Here is a 12,989-nt window from a genome sequence, read left to right on the forward strand (position 1 = left end):
GCTTCTTGGGAACATGCTTTATTTCCACATAACTGTCTGGCACAATAGCTAGAGATGTTCAGGGAATTTCTAGCGAAGTTCTTGACTGAAATTCTGGTTTGGAGAGCCATAGAGAAGGCTGAGAAGCCCCAAGCGTTGTATGTATTTTACATCTCCTATACAGTTGGCCCTCCGTATCTGTGGGTTTCACATCCCCAATACAACAAATCCTAGATACACAGATTGAAAATATTCAGAAAAAGCTCCCCAAATAACAATGTAACAATAAAAATGATACAAATAAAAAACAATACAGTATAACAACCACTTACATAGCATTTACATAGTATTAGGTATGATAAATAATCTAAAGGTCAAGTAAAGTATATGGGAGGATATGCATAGGTTATATGCAAATACCACATCATTTTATATTAGAGACCTGAGCATCTGAAAATTTCGATATCTGTGGAGTCCTGGAACCAGTTCCCCTCAGACACTGAGGGACAACTGTATGCATTCTCCTGCCATGTAATGATTGGGAGTCTGCTCTGCAACAAGCGCTGGGCTGTATATTGGGGATAGAGGGATGACTAAGACAGGCGTGGACCTTGACCTTCATGAGCATCAAACAAATCGTCAAAGAAATAACTGAAAGTTACAGGATTGAGAAGTGTATAAAAGAGAAGCATATCATAAAATCATGTTAGAGAGAGGACCAGACTGGGTCATGGTGCAGTTAGCTTATAACTTCCTTACAGGCTGATGATGCCCAGGAACAACTTAAAACCTGAACAAGCAACAGTCCTCGTGGTTTGGTGGCACAACTGGGACGTGGTCAAGAGGTGTCCTTGGGAATTGCATTCCCATTGTTAACGCAATGCCTGGTTGGTTCAATAATGCTCATTGAGTTACTGAAATTGATAATACAATTGGCAACCTGGTTTGATTTTACCATGCTTATGCAGCTCAGTGCAAGGAACATATTCTTGCCAAGTCCATCTTTATTTCCCTTTCCAAGGTTGTTTCTTAGTTTAGGGCCAATGGAAATGTCTAGTGGGTTCTGCTTTCTAAGGCAATGGGTTCTAGACTTTTCTGCAGAGTAGAATCACCTGGAAAATCTTTTTAAAATTCAGAATTTTTAAAGCTCTGGTATTCCCCTATTCAGGAGACCAATTAAATCACAATCCTTGGTGGGATGGGAGAATTTTTGAAGCTCCTCAGGTGATTCCGACATGTAGACAAGTTTGGGAACCACGATGCCAGGGATCTTCTGCATTTGAGACAAGAAAAAGAGAGAGAACAGCCCACTGACTTGTGCATCAGTGATTTTCAGAAACCAATCTTAAGATGGTTGCTTTCCAAAGACTCCTAACTGGCACCAGAACTATCAGTCTGGTAATACACAACTGTCTTAGGTCATTTTTGTTTCTTTCTGATCCTCCAAACAGCCTTGGTTTTCAACAGTGTTTAATTTCTATTCTCTTCCTTTTATGTGCTGGCTTTAAATTTCTTGGTTGTGGTTTCATCCACCATAAAAGGGATTGGCAGAAATAGGGATTCAAGAAAACATCTGTCGTTGAAAGCAATTAATGTAGTATTGAATATTGAAGTGGAATCAGCCCTACAGATGAGAGAACACTAGGCTTCCTCTAACCCAAGAGGGATTCACCAAATTAATGATATAATGATGATGATGGTGATGAAAATCATAATTAGTTTATTTTTCTTACTTGGGTATCAAGGCATCCAGTAATCAGCTAATATTGCAGATAGATGGACATTCAAATGATGTCTTAGAACACTAAGAACAGCATCAATATTTTGGGCCAGATAATTTTTTGGCATGGAGAGATTGTAGGATGTTTAGTGGTATCGTAGTCTTTTATCCACTAGATGCTAGTAGCACCTGACCCTCTAGCTCATGACAATGAAAAATGTTTGTAGATATTGCTGCATTTCCCTTGTGGGACAAAATCACTGTGGTTGAAAAGCACTGCTTTACACACACACACACGAACACACACAGAGTGGCGTGTATCTTATGTCAAGTTCTATGTTACCGCTTATATACCTTATTGAACTTAAGCATCACAAAGAGTCTAGGAGGTAGATATTGTTAGCCTCCTTGAACAGATGGGAAATGTATGAATGGGTATCCCCAGTTAGCAGATGAATGAAGGTAACCAAGGCTTACAGAGTTTATTTAGGTAAATTGTCCAAGGCCTCCTCCTTATTCAGTAGTAGAACTGAGATTCAAATCTAGGCCTGGTAGATTCCAAAAGCTTTGTGCTTGTCCTTTTCCCTTTTATATTATGCAATGTTTTCTCTGATTTATTCTTAGCTTTTATCTCTCCTTCCTAACTGCTGAGACTGCACATCAGCAAAACCTCCTCACCCTAAATACTGTGATGTGTCACCTGCCCAAAATCGAGCCTTGCAAATAGCTGGGTTTTACACACTCGCCTTTCCCTTAGCAGTCTTTGCAAAGCAAAACTACCTTCTTTGCACACTCAGGGAATCCTTCTTGTTCCATTACAGCTGCTTTATCCCATACATTAGAGAGTAGCTCAGAAAGAGCTGATAGATAACGAGACCTTGATGAGTATGGAGATTGCAGCAGCTATTTACTTAACAGAATTAATTAACAATCAGTTCAAATTATCACACGTAGTCAGGCTGCATGTAATTTAAATTGCTTTTGCACAAAGTAATTCAGTAACAAAAAAAAGTTGGATAGAGGTTACTGGAATGTAAGAACATGCGGCGAATACAGTATACAGCCAAGTGGTATATGATTCTCTTTTTAATTTTGTGACAATTTTAAGTATAGCATTTTGAATGTAAGTGGTGTGCTACATTAAGCAACCATTTGGAGCACACTAGGCTTGTACTGAGAGAATTTTATGGAGAAGTTAAACTGCCATTCATAAAGTTATTTTAATTCTATATCTCTGTTTATATTTTTATTTTTTCTCATTCCTCAGTGGGAACTATCTGTTGCTCATTAGAAAATCATCTGACATACACACATTTGAGAACCCAGTCTGTTCAACCCAGAATTCTGACATCTGAAGTGAGTCACAATTTTTGGGTGAATGTTACTGACATCTTCCATCTTTTATAGATGATGCTAACAATAATTTCATCAGATTCAGATTCCTTCCTTTATTGTATTATTCGACATTGCACCCAAAGTACTGTAAAGTAGCATAAGCTCAAAGTAGAAACATAAAAAGTAGTGTCATATCTTCTGTAGAGAAAATTATTTTAGAGTTAAATAAGGAACTCGTGAAACTATATTTGGGATGTTATTCATAGTTCTTGACATTAATTTAGAGAAAATAATTTTTACCAATAGTTAAAAACAAACCAAAATTAGGACAAAAAATAGAAGCTCATCTATATTTCTTGGAAAAAAATTAAAGTGAATGTTAAACAGTTTGGGCTACAGGTAATTGCAAGAACAAATGGACATAAACTTAAGTCAGAGAAAAGATAGACAGCTAGTTAAGTTTTTATTACTGTTGAGCAAATGTTATTAATTTAATTCAATTAACATTTATTGAGTACCCACATGCAACAGATGAATCAATGTGACAGGAGCTATTAATTTATTTACTCTAAGTTATTAAGAAAACGTTTTAATGATTTTCATTTTTGATCACTAAATGTGACTTTGTAATTTTTGCATCCATGTTTTCTCTCATTTGACTCTTCATAGATAAAAGCATTCAAATGATGAATAAGTACTAGGTCCTCTGATTCTATTCTTGTTTCTTCCTTTCTTTTCCCATTTTCCTTTCCCTTCTTTTTTCTTTTCCTTTTCCTTTCCCCCTTCCTTTCACTTCCTTTCCTTTCCCTTTTTCCTTTTCCTTCCTTTCTGCTTTTCTTTCTCCATTCCCTTCCCTTTGCCCTTCCCTTCCCTTCCCTTTGCCTTTCCCTTCCCTTTCCTTCCTTTCCCTTCCCTTCCTTTTGCCCTTCCCTTCCCTTTGCCCTTCCCTTCCCTTTCCTTCCTTTCCCTTCCCTTCCTTTTGCCCTTCCCTTCCCTTTGCCCTTCCCTTCCCTTCCCTTCCTTTCCCTTCCCTTCCCTTTGCCCTTCCCTTCCCTTCCTTTCCCTTCCCTTCCCTTCCCTTTGCCCTTCCCTTCCCTTCCCTTCCCTTTGCCCTTCCCTTCCCTTCCCTTCCCTTTGCCCTTCCCTTCCCTTCCCTTCCTTTCCCTTCCCTTCCCTTTGCCTTTCCCTTCCCTTTCCTTCCTTTCCCTTCCCTTCCCTTTGCCTTTCCCTTCCCTTCCCTTTCCCTTCCCTTTCCTTCCTTTCCCTTCCCTTCCCTTTGCCCTTCCCTTCCCTTCCTTTCCTTTCTCTTTTTCCTTTTTCTTCCTTTCTGCTTTTCTTTCTCCCTTTCCTTTCCTCTCCTTTCCTTTCTTTTCCTTTCCTTACCCTTCCCTTCCCTTCCCTTTTTCCTTTTTCCTTTTCCTTCCTTTCTGCTTTTCTTTCTCCCTTCCCTTCCCTTCTTCCCTTCCCTTTGTCCTTTCCTTTCCTTTGTCCTTTCCTTCTCCCTCTCTGGTGTAATTCCTTGACTGACCTAGCCCATCTCCATTATCAGCTTCTGCTATCCTCCAGCTCCTTCCATGTATTTTTTCCTTAAGACTTTGTCCTCTTAGTTTCTTTCTTCCTACCCTGCCCTTGAAGGCCGTATTTGTCCACACTCACATCGTCATTGATTTCTTTGTGAAGTTGGCCACTAAATCTTCATCCAGCCATCCAAAGATGCAGGCAATATTTGCCAAGCATAAACTACACTCCTGGCACTGCGCTAACCACTGCAGAATTCAGAGAAGCACAACAAATGGTTTCAGTCCTCAAGAAGCTCACAGTAATCACAAATTACAGCTTCACACTTGTAACTGTCTATTGGACATTTTTTGTGGGTAACTAGCGAAATCCTTTCAATTATGATGCCTCTTTCTACTAAGCCCCTCATTCTTCTCCCCAAACTGGAATAACTCTGGCTATCCCTGGAGAATTCACAGTTCAATTTGTCTTTATTGTATTGTCATTTTTCCAGTTCCCTGGGCTTAAAACTATTATTTGACTGGCCCTGTCCCTCCATCCAATCATTTACAAGTTCTTATTTATTCTTCCTACTAAACATCTCTCAAGTCCGTGTCTGCTTTTTCATTTCCATTACTGCCACTCAGATTTAATCTTCTCTGCCCTCACATCTGGACTCTTTTTCAGCAGTCATTGGCTCTGAATACAGTGACAACTCTCTTCAAGATATCTTATGCATTATAATCAAAATTATACTTTGGACAATATTCTTCTCGTCATATTAGTCATAAAGAAAGCAAAACACACACATCATGAACACACACACACAAGTATTAATGGCTCACTATTACCTGAATATTTTCCCATTTTCTCTCTCTTTTTTTGAGACAGGGTCTCACTCTGTCACCCAGGCTGGAGTGCAGTGGTGGTGGTGCAATCACAGTTCACTGCAGCTTCAACCTCCCAGACTCAGGTGATCCTCCCATCTCAGTCTCCTGAGTAGCAGGCACTATAGGCGTGCACCAACACAGCAAGCTTATTATAGTATTATTATTATTTGTATTTTGTGCAGAGACTCGGTTTCACCATGCTGCCTGGGCTGGTCTTGAATTCCTGGGCTCAAGGGATTCACCTGCCTTGGCCTCCCAAAGTGCTAGGATTACAGGCATGAGCCACCATGTCTGGCCTTCATTCTCTCTCCCTCCTCTGTCTCTCTTTATTTTGTTTTTCTTTATAGAGACAGGTTCTTGATATGTTCCCAGGCTGGACTAGAGCTCCTGGGCTCAAGTGATCCTTTCACCTCAGCCTCCTGAGTAGATCTTTTTATTCTCATTTAACCTACAAATTCTATTGCCAAGTTGCCTGTGGAAACAGGTAGCTTGTTGCTAAGTTTTTCTTGTGAGCAGTAAACTCCAGAAGAGTATATGAAAATTATTAGATAAGACTTTAAGGTAGGGTGATTTTAATTTTAGTTCTAGGCCAAAACATTTAAAATGAGTGTATATTTCAAACGTATAGACCATTTTTTAAGCTATAATGGTGAATTATGTTTTCCCTTGGATTTAAACTATACTCCAGCTTAGAATTTAGTACTGTAGTTATCCGTGGCTGAAATCAGACCAAGGCAGACAAGTGACATTTCAAGGTATAAGCTACCAAACCATTAACAAATTATTGTGGTTAGTAAAAGGAGTTAATTGAAGTGACACTGTATAGAGAAAAAAAGTTTTTTTCCTTTGTATGAAAATTTTGTGAAGTTCATTCAAATGTTAGAGGTGATTTTTGTTGTTAAAATGTATGATTATACTCTCTGCAGCTTGGTAGGTAATAATACAATATATAAAATACAGGAAATCATTCAACATGATCAAACGTGGTGAAAATTATCAGCCAGGGTCAGAATCATCTTTCTTTACATGTGTAGATCACTATTATTTTTATATTGAGTAAAATTTGAAAACATACTATGGCTGAAGACAGAACAAAATTAGGAAGAGGAAGATTTCTTGACATTGAGAAAAGCATAATAAAAGGTGATTGATACCCAAAGAAGCTATGTTTTCAAGAAAAAATATATTTTCTTCTTTGAAAGCTGGGTAATAAAGCTGAGTGGATAATTTTCTCCAGTTGAGGGATGAAGGCTTCTAAAATTTCCTCACCTTTTTGAAATGAATGGAAATAAGTAACTATGGAGTATTCAATTGCTACATCCTGATAGATTGGATAAGACAAAACCTTGGGTTCATTAAATCTAATTGGGGAGGGAGGATAAATAAGATACATATATTTGACATTTTTTCTTTAATTTTCAAATGGCAGCTCTGGTTGGAAGACGTCCTTTAAAGACTTTCAAGTTAAAGTCACAGTCGTATAAATCGTTGTTTTGATTTGTCTTCTGTAGCACTTCAACTAAAACCCTGCCTCAAGAAACGTTAGATGAAATGTTTATCAAGGGCTACGACAAGAGGACATTTTAAGCCTTTTCAATCAGGCTTGGTAAATCTTTTTTAAAAAGAGAGAAAAGGCTAAAGTATATTATTCCTCCAGAAATAATAGAAGTGAGTGTTCAAGGTGAAAAGGATTAAAGAGTACAAAAGAACTGAGGGAAGAAGGCTGAGCATGGCCCCCTCCCCAAGCTTCCCCAACACCTGCAAAGCAACTTCAATTTTTGGGGGCTGAAGTGGGCTTTTTTTTTTTTTTATCTAACTATTCTGGATAATTACTTCAGTTTTCTGCCCGCCACTATACTTTGCACCTGTAGACAGACATAGGCTAAGTGATGTACTTTTATAGCTAGATCATAAGCTGGTAACGAGGAACAATTGACTCCTAAGAGATAGTTGAATCTTCTTCAGACATGAAAGCAGTTTGCAATTATGAGTCTCCATTTCATTTTTATGCAGTTACCTTCAGTTTAATGTTTGTAAAAAGTGTCTCAAGAAATAAAGATTATGTTATCTGAGAAAAAAATAGTTAGCAGTTTTTATAGTTTGATGCACTTGGATTAATAATAGGTTTAGGGCTCTGAAAAAATAAATGAAGCCAATCAGGCTATAAACTCATGCATGATTGGTATTACATATACAGTCAATTTTTTTACTATCAGTGTTTAAATATAAATGTTAAAAATAAACCATAATTATTCAAAATATTCTCTATTATGTTAAAACCATCACAATTTATTCATCCGAACTATTTGAATGTCACTTAAAGTCTCTTATGTGCATTATCACATTTGAAGCTCACAACAGTTTTGCAAAGTATTATTATCATTATTACATGAATGAGGAAACTGATAGAGGGTCAGAGATTTTAGTGGTTTGCCCAAGATTACCCCGCTGGTAAGGGGCAGAGCTAGTACTTGAACTTACGTCTTCTAATTCCTATGGCAGTCAGACTTTGCATTTCGAAACTGCTTCAGAAACGAAGCACTCTGATATGAGCTTGAGATACTTTTCTGAAATAAAACTGCTTTGTCCCTTCTGACTTACCCCTCTCCAGGTTAATTGATCCTGCTGGTATTTGATTAGGAGGTACTTTTTATGTAGGTTCAAACCTAGAATTCCTATTTGATAACTAATAACTGCTTTTTCCAAACTTAGCCCTCAAAGCCCACTATAAGAAGCTTCCTACAACTGTCCCCTGCAACTCCAATCCCAATTGTTTCCTTTGGGAGCCCCCAGAAATCCAGGTTGATATCCTTACTAGATCCCTTAGTTTAGTTTATAGTACTGTGATTAATTTTGGATGTATTTCTCCTCTCCTTTCTGTTGTGAACTCCTTGAGGAAATACATAAGCCATTCAGCTCAATTTCTCAGAACCTAGCATGGTGTCTGGCAGAAAGCAAGTAATAAATACATTTTAGCCAACTGATGAACTGACAGACTAAAGGTGGCGTGTCTTGGTTTTCAGTTGACAATGGACTCATCCTTAGGGGAGGTTTTCTGAGTACATCCCAGTGGTCCTCTTTCCACATTCTCTGTAGACTAACTGATCCTAGTAAAAGTCTATAAATTTCTGTCTTTTGTGGTAAAACACATCTTGGTATTTTATTTTGATTTGAATGCAACATTTGCATTGATATCTGTAGAACTGTGAAAATACAAAAAGATACAAATAAATTAAAATCTATAATTCTACCATTTTAAACACATTGTTATATTTGTTTCACAAAAATGTAAATATCTGGTATATGTGGAATTTATGTTTATAGATGTATATGTATATATCTACATATTTATATTTATGCTTTATATTTGCATATTAGGATATATATTCTAATTCTACTTTATATATAAATCCATATACAATTAGAATATATATCAACATAATTAGATTAATAACAAATATACTATTCTAATTAGATATCTGATTAATACTACATATTCTAATTATAATTTATATATATATATAAACTTGTAGTGCTTCCTAGATGTCATTCATTTTTCTAAGAGTTTTGCATATATTAACCCATTTAATACTCCCAGCAACCCTATGTGGTAGGTACTGCTAGTGTCATTCCCATTTTTCACATGAGGACACAGAAAACGCGGGGATATCAAATAACTTACCCAGAGTCACATAACTAGTAAGTGATGGAGCTAGAATTTTAACTAAGGCAGCCTGGCTCCAAGTCCATGTTCCTAACTAATAGGCTATACTATCTAGATAGAGATTTTTTAAGTGGAATTTTATTGAATATAATGTATTATAGATGTTACCGTTGTATAGTAACCATTTCCCTTCATCCTAAAGCTTATTGAAAAACATACTCAGGTCTCTGCTCAAATGTCACCTCCTGGGTGAGGCAGGCCTTCCCTTACCTGACATCAAAAACAGTGCTTCCCAATCAGGGCAGATTTTGCCCCCCAAGGGAATGGATATTTGGCAATGTCTGGAGATAATGTTTATTGTTATGACTGGGCTAGATGCGCTAGCATTTTGTGGGTGGAGGCCAGGGATGCTGCTGAACAACCTATTATGCACAGGGACCCCTTCCCCTCACCACCAAAACCCATAAAAAATGTGGTTTCAAATGTCAATTGTGCCAAGATTCAGAAATCCTTTAATCTCATAGCCCTGATCACCAGCCATTGCTATCACATCACTCTTTCATTTTTCTGCACAGTGATTTTTAAAAATATTTTATTTGTTTACTTGCTTATGGTGTACATGTATTTCCCACCCTTGACCAAAATGCTGCCTAATGAAAGTTTGTCTGTGTCAATTAACTGCTATATCCTAAAAGAGGACCTGGGAGACCGTAGGTACTCAACATACAGGGAATTAAAGAATGCTTAGCATTTCTTACATGGTGAATCATAAGCTAACAGTTCCCCCATTCAGTACAAACGTAGATAGTTTCTATTTTTTGATACCATGAATACTCTTGAAATAAGCATTGTTGTCATGATTTTAAAATATTTATTGATTTGTGTAGGTTGAATTAATAGAAAAGGACCTATTGAATTAATGGTTGAATTTCTCAAGCTTTTAATATAATTTGCTAATTGCCTTCCAGAAAGATTGCGTCCATATAGACTTGTACCAAGAGGGATTGGGAGAAGTTTGTCTATGCTCTGAGCTTTCTAGGTTTTACCACTAAAATATTTTATTTTTATCAATTTAAAAGGAACTTTGATTTAAGTGTCCAATTTTTCCTAGAGCTGAAAAAACAGTTTTTCACTGTAAGAGGTAGAAGGTGTTTTCATATCCACCACCTTTCTGTGGAAGTTTTGTTTCACAACTAGATTCATTGGTAATCTGAAATCTCTTGCATGATATCGAATTGGGCAGTTAAGGACATCCATTCTGTATTTATAAATCAGTAAATTAGTGTTGAAAAATACTTACTGAATGATCATTGAACCTGGTTTATTTAGCTAGTTCTGTCTCTGAGTTATGAGGGCTTGGGGGTGACATACTGTTGGATGGACTTAAGAGGCTCCCTATCAGCATCTATCAGGTTAATATCCATTTGTGATGTGCCTGTATAAATGTAGGATAGAAATAAGATGTATACAGAGGCCTTGGAGAGGCCAGAAATCAAGCCACATTTTTGGAAGGACAAGAAATCACAGGAGCGAGGGAACAGAGGAGCAAATCATATGCTTATTTTTAAACTCCTTTTGCCCACTCTGTGTGCCCAATGAACTATGGAATCTATCAAAAGGCCTCACTGGGGATTTAAGATCTATTTTCTTGATAGTCCACTTGGTGGAAATTTAGCCCAGTGGTCTCCAAAGTGGCATATGTATACCTGGAGGAGGTGCAAACCTATGCAATGGGGTTAAAACACTTATTTCTATTTTTAAATCCTAATATGATAACTATTTCTGCATGTTTTATAACGTATAGTACAGTGAATATGGTAGCATGTGCCTCCATTGTGTATGCATGTGCACATGGATGTATATAGATGCATATAGGCATGCATTAGGTGGGCTTGCTATTTTTCCCTTTTTTACTAGTAAAGGTTTATAAGCTTTACAGTAAAAAATCTGGAGACCACTGGTCTGAGTAATAGACTGAGGTCAGTACTCTACATCCCTCTTTTACTAAAAAAATTCAATTTTCTTTTGCTTCCTTTCGGTACCCAGGGTGTGGTTGCTGGAACGTTTACAGCCACAGCAGCTGCAGTAGTGGCCTGAGTAGACTTTTCCTCAGAGTTTCTATAGTGGTAACAGGATTAACAGACTCTATTCTGGAAGTACTTGGGTGGCATAACACCTCCCAGCAGAACTATTCCTGACAAGGATGTGCAGATGGAAATGCATATTTATGTCACTTAAAGCCTACAAGAGACACAAGGATTTGAGCTATAACAATAAATAGAAAAAAAAATTCTTCAGCATTTTTGGTAACCCATACTCAAGTGCATTGACTGTGCTTGGCGAAAGACCTACAGTTTGCTCTTTGTCCAAGCATAAAATATTCAGCATTCAAGCATGTTGAGGTGAACTATTCTGAATATATTTTAGAGTGTTAAAATAAGCTACCACAAAGTTAGTTTAAAATTTCAGGTCTTAAAAATAACAGGACAATTTTATGAAGTGTTTGGGCCATTTCAAGAAAAAAAAAGTCCCCTTTAAAAAAGAATGTTCATTTGTTCCAATTTTTAGTAAAGGCAGGTTTAAAAAAATTATTTCTAAACACCAAATAGTCATTATAGTCAAGGCTTTCAAGTTTAAGGTATTGTCTGCATCACAGTCCTTGAAACAGCCTCTCCTAGCTTTCTTCTAAAACACCTTTAAAAATATGGAAAAACAAGAATGCTCACATCTGCAAATTTGGGTTTGATAGTATTGGGAAAGATTTACACTAAATATCAACCCATTAGAATTGAACTGAATAATCCAATCAGTCTAGCACTTACAGAGCTCTGCTGAAAGTAGAATGGAATTAGTGTTGTTTTCTGCATGCTCCCGATTCACAAACCATATTTTGTGTCAACAAGAAAATTAGGCTGTTAAGTTTTTTTAGAGGTGTTGATTTTTGATGTGACCAAGAGAGCTGTAGTTCTTTGTCACCTTAACTGATCCAGAAATAATTTGTTACCATAAACAGAAGAAATTTTTCAAAAATTGTGCAAGGTTTTCATTAGATTGCAAGAATAAGTTTGTAAAGAAAAGAGAAATACTGAGAAATAATCTTAAGGATCAAACAAATTGGGATGAAAAACCAACAGAATGGATCCAAAGGGACATGTGTGAACCAAGAGAGATACTGAAGAATTCAAAATTGAAATGACAGAATTAAAATCTGCATCAGAAGCAGTAAAATACAGAATTGACACTGCAGAAAATATCATTAGTAACACAGAGATTAAGAGCAATTCTGAAACTCTCCCACAGTTCAAAAGTGAAGGACAAAGAATTCAAGTTATGATGGCAAAATGATGCCAAACTCAAAGGTCAGAACATACAGATCTCACCTAAGAGATACAGTTTCCTGGAGAAGAAACCAAAACCATCTAAGCATAAGCGTTGTTCAAAGATGGTACTGCGATGTATTTCCTGAGCAGAAACAATTTCTGAGAGTGTGCTCCACTGCCTAAAATTTAGTAAAAAGAGACCCACAATTCTAAAAAATATTTTGAATTACAAAAATAAAGAAAAGATTTTTCAAGTACCCAGGCAAGGAAAACTAGATCAAATGAGAAATAACTGTTCCTGAAGCTGGCCTCAAATTTTTTTTGTACAAAACTAAGCATCAGAAAACAGTGGTGAGATGTATTAAAATTTTGAGAGAATAAGGTTATATTCCATGAATTTTATCCTCAGTTTGTCTTTTCTGTGTGAGAGTACAATAGTCTCATGTATTATCAGAAGAAAATATGCCGCATTAAAAAAACTTTCTTGAGGCTAGGCTCAGTGTCTCATGCCTGTAATCCCAGTGCTTTGGGAGGCCGAGGTGAGAGGATAACTTGGCTCCAGGAGTTTGAAGCTGCAGTGCTGC

The 12,989-nt window shown here is 37.0% G+C and overlaps 1 protein-coding gene and 1 long non-coding RNA gene across 5 annotated transcripts in view; one reads left to right on the forward strand and one right to left on the reverse strand.

Annotated features, from left to right (window-relative positions):
- SAMMSON (survival associated mitochondrial melanoma specific oncogenic non-coding RNA) overlaps positions 1 to 12,989 on the forward strand; it is a 435,002-nt gene that overhangs the window by 207,803 nt on the left and 214,210 nt on the right. The gene's annotated exons all lie outside the window — the stretch shown is intronic.
- Positions 1 to 12,989, reverse strand: part of MDFIC2 (MyoD family inhibitor domain containing 2) — a 118,160-nt gene that overhangs the window by 12,912 nt on the left and 92,259 nt on the right. The gene's annotated exons all lie outside the window — the stretch shown is intronic.

This window comes from Homo sapiens, chromosome 3 (assembly GCF_000001405.40).
Source record: "Homo sapiens chromosome 3, GRCh38.p14 Primary Assembly".
NCBI classification, from domain to species: domain Eukaryota; kingdom Metazoa; phylum Chordata; class Mammalia; order Primates; family Hominidae; genus Homo; species Homo sapiens.